We start from the raw sequence: 19,569 nt of genomic DNA, 5'->3' as shown, positions 1-19,569 counted from the left end.
TGTTGCCTTGTAGAATCCACTACCCCTTGACCTATACTACCTGCCTCTTTGCTCTTTGTATGAAATTTCCTGCCATAAGAATGAGTTTTCTTCAAGCGTATAGTTGGCAAGACTTTCTAATTGATTCTGAAAAATCTTCAAATCCCTCTACTGAAGTCTGTCAAACCTTAAAATCCCCGTACTTCCTTAGCTAAGTTGCAAAGTCATGCAGTGTGCCCAATGAGGCTGGCCACTTCCAAAGATATTATGTAGTTGTAAAAGACAAATAATAATTCTGAAACCAAAGTAATGCTCGCTTATTGAAAAGGTCAGAAAAAGAAAAACAAAAGTTTTGTTTTTTTCTGATAGCAGAGGTTATGTGAATCTCACAAGTAAAGTCCTATCTTAGTTGAAAATCTTTCTTGCAAATCAAACAGAGTAGAATATCGGATCTTAAGAGGGTCTGGAACTGCTGTGCATGAGCCCAGGAAGGATCTCTTTCTTTTTTTTTTTTTTTTTTTTTTTTTTCATTAGAGAGAAGGGGAAAAAATAACACTTGGAGCTACAGGATAGTGGAAGACTGAAAACAACGTGAAGTCTTTTCTCATAACATCTAAATCTCCAATAAATTCCAAAACTCACTGGACATTTAATGTGAGTAGATATTTTTCTGGAAACCCCTAAAGGGGATGAGCTCTAAATCCAGGTCTGTGTGGGACAGAATGACCCATCCAATGAGAATGTGAAACAAGAAACTAGTAAGCCATGAGGAAATAGCTGTGATGAAACCACAGAAGTTAAACAGTGGGATTTGGTCTCCCAAATTATGAATTTAAGGATTAAGTCAAATTTTCAGTAATCTTCATTTGACCAGAACGCCCCAGCTAACTCAGAATTGCATACAGGGAAATGGATTATTTTCAGTTATCAGGCATGTTTAGAAAAGACTACCATATCTCTGAAAAGAAGTGTATATAATATACTTTTATTCAATTATTTACAAGTTATCTGGTTTGTATATCAGAGAAAAAGTCCCATAGCACTAAGAATAGATATACATGCATATGCCCACAAACAAAAATAAGTGAGAAAAACGTCTTTTTGTTTACGTGGAATCAGCAAGCATCTATGCTGTCGAGAATGATTTTAGGAAGAGAGAATAATCCAGAAAAAACAAACCACCTACAATAAAACATGAAAACACTACTACACAAATAGAGCACACGATACCCTTAGCTCACACTTTTGAAATGATTACTATGTGTCAGGTACTATTTTAGAGCTAACTTCTTTAACCTTAGCAATAAGTCGCATCAAATACTATCTGAAATGAGGAAAGTATGGCACAGGAGATGAAAAACTTGTTAAATTTCAGCAAGTGATCGAGCCAGGATTCAAACTCCAGCCATCAGACTCTGGAATTTCTTAACCACTGTGCAGAAGAACTTGGAAAAGTAAACGATAAGTTATGATTCATCCTTTATAAACATGGCAGTTTTGCGAGGAGCATTGGTAGTAACGAGTGTGTGAATTAGTTATTGCTAAGCCAGAGAATGAAGGTACCTCCTAGAAAAAGGATGGCAATACCTTAAAAAATTTATTCTGCTGCTTTCTTTATTTGCATATTTGCAAATTGCAGCATCTATAGAGGGCAATTATCTCCAAAATAAAATAAACATTTTATCTCTATTTCCATGGGTATTGCTAAAAATATCCCTAAACTATGCTATTAAAAAACTGGTCAAGAAATGAAGACCTAGTATAATGTAGACAGAGAAGAACAAGCTAGTTATACAGAAGCACTCTAATAAAGGGAGTTATTGACAGCAATTTTACTATCCAAACAGGATGAGAATATAATAAGCTTATTTTTAATAGTACATGCTGTTTCTTTAAGTGTTTCAGTTTATATACCACATTAAAACATTTTACTATAATTTGAAATTCTGCTGTCTGTGATTCACTTGGGCAGTAAATGTGTTATTCTTTGTTTATAACATATTTATTTTAAGTTACTCTCTGGTAACTTTTCCTAATTGGAGAAGTTATTTTAACAGTTGTTTGTAAAATAAACTCAATTATTCATGTATAGTAACCAGTGAAACTAATTGACAATCTTTCTGTCACAGTTGATTTCAAACACCTCTGTAATGAATCCTGTGACTAATTAAATGCATAAATCCTTAGTAAAAGTAACTGCATTCATAAGACTAATATTAGGTAATTCTGTTTAGATATAGCAAGGAAGAAGCAATTGGAGAATTACTGAATAGACCATCAAAAATGACAAATCTAGAAGAGTAATTAAAAACAAAAAATACATAAGTAAAAATAAGTATTGGTATTTATTTTTCTTGTTGTGTATGCTTAAAATTATAATATTTATCTATAAAATCAAAATATAATATGCAGATTAATGAAATTCACAAAAATAAAAAGAGGAAATATTTAATAAATGTTAAAAATGAGAAATATTTAAAACTATACTGTGGAGGTAGATTATGTATAGGTATGCACACAGAGTTTTTTTTTTTTTTGTATGTAGGAGAAACTAAATCTTTTTCTCACCCTGTTTTATTAACATTTTATAATAATAGATTTATGTAACTGTTACTAAATAAGAAGAGACAGGAAAACAATGAAAATCAAATGAAAATCATAACTGATACCTTTGTCAGGATGGACTATTACAGTTCCATTCAATGGCAACACTGACTGCAACTTTTGGAACACAGTACTAGCCTTCTACTGTAAGACCCAACTAGACAAATAGGCACTTGGGACTTGCTGCTTGGGTACTTCTCGTTTATCAAAAATAAATGCTGGTCTCATGGTAAACATTTGCTCCTTGATATCTACTTCTATTTTTTTAATCACTTAAATAGTATTCTATTAATAACCAAAATGACTTTGTTAGAAGTACCTCAAGGTCATAACTTTGATGACTCTACTATGCCACAGTATACAGAAAATAGCCTTCTTTCTCATTTCGCAGACTTGATGATTCCGCCATTTGAAATAATCTGTCCTTTAAATTACCGGTTCTATTTTTTCCACTTTAATGATAAATTTAATGTTTTGTTAAATGAATTAATATATTTCTTTCCTCTTTGATTGCACTGATTTGATTTGAGTTTCTGCTGTTGGTTACCACAGTACTCCTGACTGCTCTGTAAATCCTTTTTCTTTTATACTTTGAGTTAGCATAGGCCCTGCTAAAATCTTAGCTTCAAACTGTTCACAACTTTGGTTCACATAAAAGACTTCAAATTACCCATGGTATCTTGGTCTCTATTTGCATGTCTTTTCAGCTTCTCTTCCTGCCACTTACTGTGAATTTCTTTAAAATACGAAATCTGGGAATGGGGAAAGTCAAATTTGTTCAATTTTGGTATCATCTTCTCCCTTGACCACATCCATCATGAAAAGCCAACTCACAGAACAAAGGATAACTGGTATATAGATGTATTAGTTATTTCTCACACTGTTATAAAGACATACCTGAGCCTGGGTAATATATAAAGAGAAGAGGTGTAATTGACTCACAGTTCCACATGACTGGAGAGGCCTCAGGAAGCTTACAATTGTGGTGGAAGGTAAAGGGGAAGCAAGACATGTCTTCACATAGGCAGAGCAGGAGGAAGACAGCAAAGGAGGAAGTGCTATACACTTTTAGACAACCAGTTCTCGTGAGAGTGAGTTCACTAGAAGAACAACAAGGGGGAAATCCACCCCCACGATCTAATCACCTTCCAACAGGTCCCTGCCCCAACATTGGGAATTACAATTTGATATGAGATTGGTGGGGACACAGCCAAACCGTATCACTCTGCCCCTGGCCCTTCCCAAATCTCATATCCTTCTCAAATTTCAAAACACAATTATGCCTCATCAACAGTCCCCCAAAGTCTTAACTCATTCCAGCATTAACTCAAAAGTTCAAGCCCAAAGTCTTATCTGAGACAAGGCAAGTCCCTTCTGCCTATCAGCCTGTGAAATAAAAAACAAGTTAGTTACTTCCAAGATACAATGAGGGTGCAGTCATAGGTAAATGCTCACATTCCAAGTGGGAAAAATTTATCAAAACAAAGGCGAGACAGATGCCATGCAAGTCTGAAACCCAACAGGGCGGTCATTAAATCTTAAAGCTCCAAAAGAATCTCCTTTGACTCCAGCTTCTTTCACAGACTGGCATTGAGTAACTGAGGCTTTTCCAGGCATATGGTGCAAGCTGTCAGTGGATCTACCATTCTGGGATCTGGAGGATGGTGGCTCTCTTCTCACAGCTCCAGTAGGCACTGCCACAGTAGGGACTCTGTGTGGGGACTTGATATGATTCGGCTGTGTCCCAACCCAAATCTCATCTTGAATTGTAGCTCCTATAATTCCCACGTGTTGTGGGAGAGGCCTGGTGGGAGTTAAATAAATCATGGGGGAGGGTTTCCTCCATACTGTTCTTGTGGTAGTGAATAAGTCTCATGAGATCTGATGGTTTTATAATGAGAAACCCCCTTCACTTGGCTCTCATTCTCTCTTGCCAGCTGTCATGTAAGATGTGCCTTTCATCTTCCAGCAGGACTGTGAGGCCACCCCAGCCACATGGAACTGTTAATCCATTAAACCTCTTTTTCGTTATAAATTACCCAGTCTTAGGTGTGTCTTTATCAGCATCATGAAAACAGACTACTACAGGACTCTAACCCCACATTTCCACTCCAGTAGAAGTTCTCTACAAGGACTCTACCCCAGCAGCAGACTTTTGCCTGGACATCCAGGCATTTCTATACATCCTTTGAAATGTAGGCAGAGGCTTCTTTGCATCCACAGACCCAACACCATGTGGAAGTCACCAAGTCTTGGGGCATATGCTCTCTGAAGCAGTGGCCTGTGCTGTACTTGACCCCTTTTATTCATGGCTGGAGCTGGAGCAGCTGGGATGCAGGGCACCATGTCCTGAGGCTGCACAGAGCTGTGAGACCCTGGGCCTGTCCCATGAAACCATTTTTCCCTCCTAGGGCTCCAAGCCTCTGATGGAAGGGGCTGCCATGAAAGTCTCTGAAATGTCCTGGAGGCATTTTTCCCATTATCTCCGATGTTAGCATTTCACCTCTCTTTACTTAAGCAAATTTCTGCAGTCAGCTTGAATTTCTCCCAGAAAATGGGTTTTTCTTTTCTACCACATGACCAGGCTGTAAATTTTTCAAACTTGTATGCTCTGCTTCCCTTTTAAATATGTTTCAGTTTCAGACTGTCTTTTTTTGTGTATGCATATTGGCATATACAGTTAGAAGCAGCCAGGTCACATCTTGAACAATTTGCTGCTTAGAAGTTTCTTCTGCCAGATACCCTTGAGGAAGTTCTAGGAAGTTCCAAACTTTCCCTCATGTTTCTGTCTTCTTCTGAGCCCTCCAAACTGTTTCAACTCTGCCCATCACCTAGTTCCAAAGACACTTCCACATTTTCAGGTACTTTTATAACAATGGCCCACTTCTCTGGTACCAGTTTTCTGTATTAATTTGTTTTTGCACTGCTTTAAAGACATACTTGAGACTGGATAATTTACAAAGAAAGGTGGTGTAATTGACTCACAGTTCTTCCTGGCTGGGGAGGCCTCAGGAATCTTACAACCATGGTAGAAGGTGAATGGGAAGCAAGACATGTATTCACATGGTCAGAGCATGAGGAAGAGGGTAAAGGGGAAAGTGCTACACACTTTTAAACAAACAGATCTTGTGAGAACTCACTCACTATCATGAGAACAGCAAGAGGAAAATCCAACCCCATGATTCAATGACCTTCCACCAGGTCCCTCCATAACATTAGGAATTACAATTCAACATGACAGTTAGGTGGGGACACAGAGCCAAACCATATGAATAGGCTAACCTTAAGTCTGATTATTCATATAACAAGGATTTCTAAAAGCTGTGTGACTCATGAGAGCTAAGAGCAAAGCTGTTTCCCACAGAAGGGGTAGATTTTATGATTGATTTGTCTAATATAAGCCATTGCAAACACTCTTTATAAAGATGTTACCTTCCACTAATTCTTAAACCCTCTGCAACCTAATATCCATCCTCACCTTTCAACTTTTTTTTTTTTGGAGGTCAACAAACATGGCCTGTGGACAGATTATTCTAACTTTTGCCAGTCTTCTCCTTGTCTGATCTGTGTATAGCATTGGTCCTATGATTGAGAATCTCCTCCTTGAAGATCTTTTCTGAGAATTTCATAGCAAATATCAAAGAGCAGAGAATTAATGAAGGTAATAAAATTTGTATTTTAAGATATAACTTTGGCACAAAACAGTTTGAGTGGCAAGCCTTGAGGAAAAAATGTAAGTGAAAAAGCTATTGAGGAAATTCTTTTTTCCTACTAAAATTGAGAAAGATATTGAAGTTAAGTCCTTCTCTTCTATGAAAAAATAAGATAAACATGGAATTAATTAAAATCATACTTTTCCCTGAGGCTAGCAGAAAAGGATGGCTGCCATAAAGATGTTTTTTATTATAATCCAGAGAGAAAGGACATTTCATAGATGAGCATATAGACATGGCAGCTTCCATATCTGGGTATAGATGTACAATGGGACTTCATGGAAAATACATATTATAAAAAAAGGCTATGCATGAATTTCAAAGGTTTTTGCACTAAATAAACTTGTACTAACTTGTTATAACATGCCTCAACAAGACTGAGTTTGTGACACTGATAAGACTAAAACATCAGCTTTAAAAAGAGTCCCTATGAGAACAACATGAATTCTGCTAAAATTGAAGCAAGAACAAACATCAAATTTATGGAAATGCTCAGGTAGAGGAATGGATGAATAATTTATATTTTATGTATTAGTCCATTTTCGTGCTGCTGATAAAGACATACCCAAGACTGGGCAATTGATAAAAGAAAGAGGCTTTTTGGACTTATAGTTCCACGTGGCTGAGGAGGCCTCACAATCATGGTGGAAGGTGAAAGGTGTGTCTCACGTGGCACAGACAAGAGAAGAGAGATCATTCAGGGAAGCTCCAATTTTTAAACCATCAGATCTCATGAGACTTATTCACTATCACAAGAAGAGCATGGGAAAGACCTGCCCCTATGATTCAATTACCTCCTACCAGGTCCCTTCCACAAAAACTGGGAATTTAAGATGAGATTTGGGTGAAGACACAGCCAAACCACATCATTCTGCCACTGGCCCCTCCGAAATCTCATGTCCTCAAATTTCAAAACCAATCATGCCTTCCCAGTAGTCCCCAAGAGTCCTAACTCACTTCAGCATTAACTCAAAAGTCCACAGTCCAAAATCTCATCTGAGAAAAGGCAAGTCCCTTTCACCTATGAGCCTATAAAATCAAAAGCAGATTACTTACTTACTAGATAAAATGAAGGTACAGGAATTGGGTAAATACAAGCATTCCAAATGAAAGAAATTGGCCCAAACAAAGGGGCTACAGGCCCCATGCAAATCTGAAATCCAGCAGAGCAGTCAAATCTTAAAGCTCCAAAATGACCTCCTTTGACTCCGTGTTTCACATCCAGGTCACACTGATGTAAGAGGTGGAGTCCGATGGCCTTGGGCAGTTCTGCCCCTGTGGCTTTGCAGGATATAGCCCCACTCTTGTCTACTTTCAGGGCTGGCATTGAGTGTCTGTGGCTTTTCCAGGTGCATGGTGCAAGCTGTTGGTGGATCTACCATTCTGGGGTCTGGAGGATGGTATCCCCCTTCATGCAACTTCACTAAGTGGTGCCCCAGTAGGGACTCTGTGTGGGGGCTCTGATCCCACATTTCCCTTCTGCACTGCCCTACCAGAAGTTCTCCATGAGGGCCCCTCCCCTGCAGCAAACTTCTGCCTGTGTATCCAGGTGTTTCCATACATTATATGAAATATAGGCAGAAGTTCCCAAACCTCAATTCTTGACTTCTGTGCACCCACAGGCTCAACACCATGTTAAAGCTGCCAAGGCTTGGGGCTTCCACCCTCTGAAGCAACAGCTGGAGCTGTACCTTGGTCTCTTTTAGCCATGGCTGTGTAATACCTTTCCTTGTTAGACTCTCCCTTAGCTACCTAACTTTGTTTTAATATGAATAGACTCTCCCTTAGCTGAGAACACCAGAAGGACTCCATTTGGCTCCTTCATTTGCAAGACATCAAGGACTCCTTAACCACCCCCTTCTTTAAGGAGTTAACTTGTATAAGCTGGCTCTCAGCATATCAGAGTCCAGTTAACTGATAAGGCACTGAGCAAGCTGGTGTCCACAGTTCCCAACAATTTACTCAAAGATGGTACCATAAAGCCTCCACATTTATCTGGTAGATAATGCCCAGAGCCCCCTCACCTATCACCCTGTCACTTTATGATGAATTTAAAGCCCCTGTACCTGGAACTGTTTGTTTTTCCTGTAACCATTTGTCTTTTTAACTTTTTTTGTCTGTTTCTCTTCTGTAAAGTTGCTGCAGCTAGAATCCCCCTCCCCTCTCTAAACCAAAGTATAAAAGAAAATCTAGCCCCCTCTTTGGAGCCAAGAGAATTTTGAGCACTAGCTGTCTCTCAGTCATGGGCAAATAAAGGACTTCTGAAATTGTCCCAAAGTGTGGCGTTTCTCTCCGACTCGCTTGGGTACAACAGCTGGGGCAGCTGAAACACAGGGTACAAAGTCTCTAGGCTGCACAGAGCAGGGGGTCCTGGGCCTACGCATGAAACCATCATTGCCTGTTAGGCTTCCAGGCCTGTGAGGGGAGTGGCTGCCATGAAGACCTCTGATATGTCCTGGAGACATTTTCCCCATTGTCATGGGGATTAACTTTTGGCTCCTTGTTACATATGCAAATTTCTGCAGCCAGCTTGAATTTCTCCTCAGAAAATGGGATTTTCATTTCTATTGCATTGTCAGGCTGCAAATTTTCAGAACTTTTATGCTGTTTCCCTTTTAAAACTGAATGCCCTTAACAGTCACCGCTTGAACACTTTGCTGCTTAGAAATTTCTTCCACCGTTTACACTAAATCATCTCTCTGAAGTTCAAAGTTCCACAAATCTCTAGGGTAGGGGCAAAATGCCACCAGTCTCTTTGCTTAAACATAACAAGAGTCACCTTTGCGCCAGTTCCCAATATGTTCCTCATCTCCATCTGAGACCACCTCAGCCTGGATTTCATTGTCCATATCATTATCAGCATTTTGGTCGAAGCCATTCAACAAGTCTCTCAAGAGTTCCAAACTTTTTCACATCTTTCTCTCTTCTTCTGAGCCCTCCAAACTGTTCTAACCTCTGCCTGTTTCCCAGTTCCAAAGTCACTTCCACGTTTTTAGGTATCTTTTCAATAGTGCCCCGCTCTACTGGTAACAATTTACTGTATTAGTCAACTTTCATGTTGCTGATAAAGACATAGCCAAGACTGGACAATTTACATAAGGAAGAGGTTTATTGGACTTACAGTTTCATGGGGCTGGGGAGGCCTCACAATCATGGCGGAAGGTAAAAGGCATGTCTCACATGGTGGCAGACAAGAGAAGAGAGCTTGTGCAGGGAAACTCCCCTTTTTAAAACCATCAGATCCTGTGAGACCTATTCACTACCATGAGAACATCATGGGAAAGACCTGTGCTCCATGATATAATCACCTCCTGCCAGGTCCCTCCCACAAAAATGTGTGAATTCAAGATGAGATTTGGGTGGGGACACAGCCATACTATATTATTTTACAAATGTTTCTGGGGCCAATGCCTCAAAGAAATCAACAGTTTAAAAATTGATAACTCTTTTTAAAGATAATCCCAGATATATAAGACTGTGTTGAAGATGAACCTGACAGCAGCAGATCATTTACATCAATTTGTGAGAAAAAAATTAATTTTATTTGTGCCCTAATCGAAGAAGACTGATTATAAACAGCAAAAATAGCCAACACCACACACATCTCAACTGGTCCAGATTACACAATTGAGAGTGAAAAATTAAAATTGAGTAAACTTTCCATTTGATGGATGCTAAAACTGTTGTGCCCACAACAGCTGCAGACAAGAGCAAAACTTTCCATGGAAAATTTGAACATGTAGGATCAAGATCTTGAAGCATTTCTTCTAAGATTTGTAATGTCAGATGAAATGTGACTTTACCAATATGATCCTGATGACAAAGCCACAAGCAAAGCAATGGCTATGAAGAGATGGTAGTGGTCCAGTCAAAACAAAAGCAGACCAGTCAAGAGCAAAGGTCATAGCAGCATTATGTAGGAAACTTAAGGGATTTTGCTTGTTGACTTTCTGGAGGAACAAATAAAGATAACAACTGCTTATTATGAGACTGTTCTGAGAAAGTTAATGAAAGCTTTAGCAGAAAAATGCCTGGGAAAGCTTCATCAGAGAGTCTTTCTTCATGATGACAATATTCCTGCTCATTCCTCTCATCAAACAAAAGCAATTTTGCAAGTTTTGAAGGGGAGTTATGAGGCATTCATATTATAGTCATGATTGGACTTTTTCTGACTTCGTTTTGTTTTCTAACCTTAAAAAACATTTAAAGGTACCAATTTTTCTTCAGTTAATATTGTAAAAAAATTAAATAACATTGACCTGACCAAATTCCCAGGACCCTCAGTTCCTTAAGGATGGACTAAATGGTTGTTGTTATCATTTACAAAAGTGTCTTGACTTTCATGGAGCTTATGGTGAGAAATAAAGTTTATATTTTTTTATTTTTATCTTTAAATTCAATTTTTCCACAGACTTTTTGAAATTTCTTTGCATAATATAGGTATGAGCCTAGAAAGGCTGCCCTTGTCATAGATGGTGACTTTCTAGGAAGGAGCAGAAGCTAGTCAAACCTTAATGATTATATAAGTTGGCAAGATGGAATTAATAGAAAAATGTCCAAATGCAAAACAAATTGTTTGCTTCACAACTATCCTTTACACATCATGCCCCTATTTTGTCAAGAAACCAGCTGAAAAGCAGAGAGGACTCATATAGTCATATACATTGTGGCAATGTTTGGAATGTGTGTCCCTAGAGAAATTGCATATAAATGGGAACCAGTAAACTAAAACAGCTGAATCTAAAGCCCAGGTCAAATGCTGACATGATCAAAAAGGTGGCAGCAGCAGCAGAAGTAGCAGCAATAAAGTAGATGGAGGTTGGAGTAATCACAACTGGGCTCAGTAGAATTAAAACCATAGCTCAAGTATAACACACTTGAACTTAAGACCTGAAGAATCTGAATGATCAGTTTTTCATCCCCTAATCACCAGACTGAGAGAAAGGCTCAGGTTCTGTGCAGAAAAGTAAAATAAAAAAATTTTAAAAACAAGACAAAGCATTCTCCTTAATTTTCTGAATACACTAATAAATTATGTGATGTGAAGGAAGTAGAAAAAGGTGACACATTAAAAAGAAAAATTGCAATCAATAAAAAGAGGTACATAGATAAACTAGTTATTGAGATAGCAGGTGTACTAGTTTGCTCAGGCTGACATAACAAAACACCATAGACTCAGTGGCTTAAACAAAAGAAATTTATTTTCTAACAGTTCTGGGGGCTAGAAACCCAAAGTCAAGGCTTTTGCTCTTTTGGTTTCAGGTGGGAGTTCTTACCTTGGCTTGCAGAAAGTTTTCTTATTGCTCTTTCCATGTATAGTCCTTCCTTAGTCTGTGTGGATAGAAAAAGAGGGACAGACGGTGAGCTCTCAGGTATCTCTTCATCTAAAAACATCAATCCTTTGGATTAGTAGATTAATCCTATTGGATCACCATCTGTATGACCTCATTTAACCTTAATTACTTGCTTAGTAACCCATCTCCAAATATAACTACACTGGGGGTTAGAGCTTCAATATATGAATTTTGGAGGACAAAAGCAATCACTCCTTAACAGAAGAAAAGGATTTCAAAACCGCTATACTGTATTAAATATTTACACACTTAAAATGTGAAGATATAGTCTATTCAAAAAATAAATTGAAACCCTAATGATAAAAATTGAACAAAATACTATTTCTGAAATCATAAATTCATTCAAGAGAATTAATAGCATTTTGGACCTAAGGAAAAGGTTATAGAATTTGAAGGTAGCTCAATAGAAGTTATCCAAACTGAGGCAGAAAGAGATGCATCAATGTACTGTAATAAATTGTTAAGATAACTGGTGTCTCCAAGGAGAAAAGGGTGGAAAAAGTATTTGAGAAAAAAATGGTAATTTTTTTTAAAATTTGATTTAAAACATCAACTAATAATTCCAGAAGTTAAAACAGCAACAGCAGCACCAATAGAAAGGGCAGCAGCATCAAGAACAAAACCATGATGGATGAATACAGAGAAAAACCGCATACAGACATACCTCAGTCAACTTTCTCAAAACTCAAGTTAAAGAGAAATTCTTAAAGCAGGCAGAGGTGAAAGAGACAAATTCTAAGGAATGACAATAATAATGATGGCTGAATTCTCCTCAGAAACAATACAAGTCAGAAGACAACAGAACGGTATTTTTTAAAATCAATAGAAAGACAAAGCAGGATAAATGTGAATGAAATCATGCCTGAGCAGATCAGAGTTAAATGACTGAAAAATTAAACATACAAAGGCATTTTTGAAAGTAAAAAGAATAAAAAATTACACATTACTTATATAAACATATAGCTAGACACATAAATGTTCAGAATTTAAATATACATACACATATAATTAAAATACAATACATTTCTCATCTAAATCTATATGAAGTCTAGAAGAGAGTAAAGAGTAGAGGGAAAAAAATGCTAAAAGAAACTAAAATGCCAACCTAGATTTTTATATCCAGTATAAAAAAGTTTCAGATAGAAGAAAACTAATGTAATTCATTGCCAGCAGACTGATGCTATAAGTAATGCTAAAGTATATTCTTTATCCTGAGGACCTTTATCCCTACTGAAAATCCAGATTTTTAAGAGAGAACAAAGAACATCAAAAATGGTAAATATGTAGGTAAATGCAAATAACTATTTCATCTGAATTTCTTTAAAATACTTATGAGAGTTTTAAGGAAAAATATTGTAACATTTACTTGTGCAGTTTATAATCTAAGTACACAGGGCAATAATAGCATAGAAGATGACAAGGGGAACATATAAACTGAATGTTTTCATGTTTTTTTGTATTTGTGGGAATTAGTACAGTCTAACTTCCAAGTAACTGAAAAAGTTAATGCATGTGTATCTTAATCCTTAGAGTCAAATGCCAAATAATACAAAATGTATAATTAAAAACACAATATGAAAATTAAAAGTATCTTTGACAAATTTTATAATCCAAAATATATTAGGAAAACTTAAACAAGAAAACTAAAAGAGACACACAGAAAATATATAATGGTGTACTTTTATTTGACCATTACTTTAAATAATTATGGAGAAACAATCCAATTAAAGGCAAAGACCGAAAGAATGGACAAAACAAAATCAATTCCTAAATATGTACTCTCTACAGGATACATACATTAACTAAAAAGCAACCAATAATTTGACAGTAAATTTTTAAAAAGACATACTATGTTTAGGGTAAGCATAAGAAGTCTAGGATGGGTGTTAATATCAGTCAACATATATACTAAGAAAAAGATTGTTAGCAGGGAACTATGAAATTTTATGATGATAAATAATTCATCAGGAAAAGATAGAAATTATATATGTTGATGTGAGTGGTTACCTGAAAAAAATCGACAGAACTAAAGGATGAAATGACAATACTACAATCATTGTTAGAGATGATGAACCTCTCTTTTATCAAATGACAGAACAACTAGAAAAAGTCACCAAACACATAGATGATTGAACACTGTCTACCACATTGACCTAATAAATATATATGAAACTATATATTCAATCATTTCAGAATAATTATTTTGAATTCATATGGTTTACTATGTACTGGGCCTTAAAACAAATCTGGATACATCTAAAAGAGGCAAGTCATTCAGAATATAGTAAAAAAAATTAAATTAAAAACAAACATCAAAATGATAATTAGGGAGATCCCCCAAAGTATTTTAATTATAAAAACTCAGATTAAAAGTAAAACGTTGGGACCAAGATATAGCATGCAAAACCTAACCACATGGTAGCTAATCAAGTTATATTTTATCAAAGTTTGAGGCAAAGAATACTAAGTAAAGAAGGACATGTTATAAAAGTGAAAACATCAACTTATCAGAGATGCAACAATCCTAAATGTGTACACTACTATTACCAGATGTTCAAAATACATGAAACAAAAACTGATAGAACTTAAACAGAAATAAGTTAAACTACAATTACAATGGAAACTTTTTTTTTTTTTTTTTTTTTTTGAGACGGAGTCTCGCTCTGTTGCCCAGGCTGGAGTGCGGTGGCACGATCTCGGCTCACTGCAAGCTCCGAACCCCGGGGTTCACGCCATTCTCCTGCCTCAGCCTCCCGAATAGCTTGGGACTACTACAATGGATACTTTTTAAAACATTTTTCTTTCAGTACTCAATAGAAGTAATAATAATAAAAAAAAAAAAAGTAAGGATGTAGAAGATTTAAAGAACCTTATTAAAAAAATTAAAAATAATTGACATTATGGCCACTACATTCAATAACCGAATACAAACTTTTTAAGCTTAATGAAAAACAAGCCAAATGCTATACTATAAACAGATACTAAAAATTTGCAAGAAATCGCATAGATAAGATTCTTTGATCATAACGAAAAGGTCATATTTGGAATGAAATTATATTGAAAATTATATTCGGAAAATCTCCATATTCTTGAAAATTAGCTAACACACTTCCAAATAATCCTTTAGGTAGGAAATGGCAAGACAAAAGAAATATTTTCAGTTAGATAATAAGGAAAACAAATAACAAAATTTTTGGAAAGCTGTTAAAGCAATTAATAAATCTACATACTAATATTGAGAGAAGAAAAACTGAAAACCAATGACCTGAACATCCATCTTAAGAAACTAGTGAAAGGAACATAAATGGAATATTATGCTACTTAAATGAAGGAAATAATAAAAGTAAAATTGAAAATTAATGAGTGAAAACAGATAAGGGAAAGAAACAGATTGAAACCATTGAAAACATTGATAAACCACAAGAAAGGCTGGCTAAACAAAATAGTGACTCAAATTATAAATATTAAGAATGTATAAGGAGCTATGATTGCAAATTATATAGACATTAAGACTATAATCAAGGAATTTTATAATAACTTGCACTAATAAATTAGTAATGTTGATGCGATAATTAACCAATAAGTAGTATTATTTAGGTAAAACAAAGATTATTTGTTTTGGGCCAAGTTGCATTGCTTCTGGTTCTGCCAAAGTATGAAAAGACTTTTATAAATAATCAGTTGGAGAAATCAGGTCAAGCTATAGATCTAATGCCATCTCACAAATTGTGCCTGTCATCTGACTTCACTGCACTATATAGATTTGTTTAACTTACAGAAAATAATTTTTGCAGTCATAAAGGTTTCGTTCAGAAAAGCCCTGATAACCTCTTAGGTATGCATCTAGTTCCTTATATTCAACTAATATTTATAGTATTCCTATTTTGATACTTATCCTTTAATTCAATAAGCTATTATCTAATTGTTTCAATTACTTATTGAAATCTTCAAAGGTAATCCTTGGTAACTTATGTAGCAGTCAAGAAGTTTAGTAAGTTTAATCCTACTGAACATTACTACCTTTTCTAGGGCATTATGAATCTTGGGCCCTTCTTCTATCTAATTGCTGCCCATAGTAATTGGTAAATTTTTGTAATTGTATAAAAAGTGAGAAAACCTTAACTCCCTCGGATGTTTTCTCTTCCTGTGTCAAAAAACGCAAATGAGATTTGGAAGTACAGTCGCTTCTTGGTCTGAAAAATCACACTAGCCAATACAGGACTAACCTACTGAATTAGCACTGTGAATATATACAAGATATTTTTGATAATTAAGAAAACCGAAGGGTTTTATAGTGAACAAGGAGGTACACCATAGGAAGTAGAACCAACTTTCCCACCTTCAACTTTGAGGCAGTTTCCACATACAAATTACTTTCCTAGGCTTTCAGTATTGCATCGCACCAGTTACAAATCGAAATATTTGAGAATGTGTTTTAGCTTTCTAAGTTGATAAATATTACTGTATTATGACCTCGTGTGTAAAGCTATGTCTTTTCTCATAACGGAAATTTGGTAAAACCTCAGAGATGATTGGATGTGTGGATATTTACTTAAGGGTTGGGGTGATAATTTTTAGGTGAGTAATCAAGTAAAGACATGCATAATTCTCACATTATTACATATTATTTCATAAAATTTTGCCTTCTTTTCAGTAAAATTACTAATTATGTTATTTTAATCAAGATCTTCATGTATTTTGTGTCCTAGTGACAGAAATGCCAATTTAGACAAACTTCTGATTTGTTGAATTTGGAGAGATTTTGTTCTGCTGAAAGAGTAGCAATTAAATTGTCAATATCATTTTTTAAACAATATTTATATTGAGAAATGAACCATGAGTTTGACATATTATGTTTAAACATTATAATTAGGTAGCTGAAGATAATCAATCAAAAATTACAGAACACTTTACTGTTATTATATGATCGTGATATATTTTATCATTATTTTTACACTTATTTAAACCAATATCTAGAGCTATAAAATATGTTAAGTGTGTACTTTTTTCAAATTTTTCAATGCTATGTGGGATATTATAAACAAAACCAAAATTAATCAAATATTGCTCAATTCGTTCAAATCTCTGACCAATGGGAATTATACTTTTACCTGTAATGGCAAGTGCTAGAATATACTGAGATGACTTTGAAGAATATGTCTCCTTTGAAGTAAAACAAATATTTTTCCTTCCCTATTCTTTTCTTATTTTTTTATTGGAATGACATTTTTGTTCCATATTTCACGTATGATTTCTTTGACTTAAAAATCCATTATCTCAAAAATACATTTTTTGAAAGTTAAATAGCAAAGTTAGACTTGTTGAGTGGTTTGTAAAATTTTCTAATACTATTAATAAAAAGCAGCTGTTCATAACCATATAATTAGATAGTAAAGGGTCAAAATGAATTTCATTTATGTCAAAGACTACAATTTACTTACTGTTTACTTAAAGAACTTCTCTTGCTTTGCTTACATGTACTGCATCATGCATTTTGTATAAATCAAATCTAATTTTTTTAACAGTGTTTAGTTGACATTCTTTTTTTTATTGACATTCTCATTGTATATCTGAGAATTGTCATTAGGTCAAATGTTATATGGATTAACTAGCTTTAATTTCATATGTAGTATATTTTGTTTCCCTATTTTATATGAAAATACAAAAGTAGTGATACCCCAAGGACTCTAAATATTTGCACCACCCATTGAGAAGTAGGGATTCCCTTTACGAGAATCCTCAATGTGACCATATCTATGCACAGATATATTCATATTTTCTTTTGTTTTGTTTTGTTCTGTTTTTGTTTTAAGACTGTGTCTTGCTCTGTAGCCCAGACTGCAGTGCAGTGGCATGCTCATGGCTCACTTCAGACTAGACCTCCTAGGCTCAAGCAATCCTCCCACCTCAGCCTCTCCAGTACCTGGGATCACAGATGTGCACCACCAAGCCCAGCTATTGTTTTATTTTTAACTTAAAAATCTTTTTTTTTTTTTTTTTGGTAGCGATGGGGGTTTCCCAATGTTACCCAAACTGGTTTCAAAGTCCTGAGCTCAAGTGATCCTCCCAACTTGGCCTACCAAAGGGCTGTGTTTACAGGCATGAATCATTGTGTTTGGCCATATTTTCTAAACATATAAATTATTCTTTTCCATCACTCTCAATTATTTGAAATTTTTAAATGTATTAGTAAAGGTATGTAAATTTATATGTGACTTTTCTAAGGCCAAATTCATTTTTCTCATTTCTCTCTTTCTCTCTTTCTTTCTTCCTAGTCCATTTCCATGGGTACTACATTAATAGAGTTCTTCAAATTAGCATCCCCAGATATTTTCTCATCCTGAACTGATACAAGCTACACAAGTCTAGCTTTCACTTAATGATATCAATTAAATTTTAGCCCCTTGTTTCACTATGTAGCTATGAAAGAGGAAGCATGTATCAGTTAAATTTATGATTTTATTCTCTATGTTTTTCTTACTATAAATGATTTATTTTTTATAGCTCACATTCACAATAATTAGTGTTATGACTGGAAGACATTGTTCAATAAATTCTAGATTACATCTGATTTGTGCGTATTACTCGATCAGACTAAAGATTTGTATAGAAATATGAACTATCAGCTTCAAATTAACTCAGTCATAGTAAACTACCTGTTAATTGAGTCATTAGAGGGAACTGTGCTATTTAGTTTCTCTAGGTTAACCAGGCAGAGCTCAAAAATCAGCAGTGGTGTAATCCTATTTCTCCAGAAAAAAGTTCAGTGTTTCCTGCAGGCATTGGCCATTAGTGAGTACCTTATCTGAGGGCTGTGCCTAAGTGTGACGTTTTTTTGCTTGGAGGTGTTCTCTTGAGAAGGTTGGCATTATGTTTGACTTTTTCCCAGAAAGGGGTGGAGATGATAGCTTGAGGTTCTTTTCTAAATTGAAATTGGTTTTATAAACTGGTTGATGTGTGCTTTGCAAATGAAAGACCAAAAGCGAATGAAATAACTTCATTCTTAAACTATATTGCAGTCACCTAGTAGACATATTCAAGAAGAAATAAAAAATAGCGGAAACTCACAAAATACATACACATACGAAATATTCTAGACGCTAATGAGTTTATTATTCAGCTGGTTTTAACATCTATGAAGCCACCTTATTTAAGTTGTCAGGTAAGGCTATAGTATCCACATTAAATTTATGTTTAATGGTTAATCATTTTAAACATTATAAATATATAAATAGACTCAAAATTTTAATTGATGAATGTATTTTATATGTTTGAAATAATTTAAACGAATGCATTCTGTAAATTTTAATTTTTTTTCTTTTTTTTTTTTTTTTTTTTAGATGGAATTTTGCTCAGTAGCCCAGGCTGGAGTGCAATGGCGTGATCTTAGCTCACTGCAACCTCCGCCTCCCAGGTTCAAGCAATTCTCCTGCCTCAGCCTCCAGAGTAGCTGGGATTTCAGGTGCCCACCACCACACCCGGCTAATTTTTGTATTTTTAGTAGAGACAGGGTTTCACCATGTTTGTCAGGCTGGTCTTGAAATCCTGACCTCAAGTAATCCACTTGCCTCGGCCTCCCAAAGTGTTGGGATTACAGGCGTGAGCCACCGTGCCTGGCCCAATTTTAACTTTTAATTAATGCAGCAACTGAATCTAAACAAAACACATATAAAATGTCTGTATCTGAATGTAATTGCCTTGGTAATTCTGTTGCAAAGGATCAAAGTTCTATCAAAAAATAATTTAAATTCCAATTTTTAAATCGAAAGCTGTATTGAGATAACTGTAAATTTACAGGTAGTTATAAGAAATAATACAGAGCTATCTTTGTACAGTTTGCCAATTTCCTCCCAAAAGTAACATTTTGCAAAACTATAAGACCACAACCATGATACTGACAGTGACACGATACACCCACC

The 19,569-nt window shown here is 35.5% G+C and overlaps 1 long non-coding RNA gene across 1 annotated transcript in view; it reads right to left on the bottom strand.

Annotated features, from left to right (window-relative positions):
- LOC105370255 (uncharacterized) overlaps nucleotides 1-19,569 on the bottom strand; it is a 62,160-nt gene that overhangs the window by 9,437 nt on the left and 33,154 nt on the right. Inside the window, exon 3 of the long non-coding RNA XR_942058.2 lies at nucleotides 11,573-11,627. This is a non-coding gene — a long non-coding RNA (uncharacterized LOC105370255). The remainder of the gene's footprint in view (nucleotides 1-11,572; nucleotides 11,628-19,569) is intronic.

Source organism: Homo sapiens, chromosome 13 (assembly GCF_000001405.40).
Source record: "Homo sapiens chromosome 13, GRCh38.p14 Primary Assembly".
Classification (NCBI taxonomy): domain Eukaryota; kingdom Metazoa; phylum Chordata; class Mammalia; order Primates; family Hominidae; genus Homo; species Homo sapiens.
This window is presented reverse-complemented; position numbering and strand designations above follow the sequence as displayed.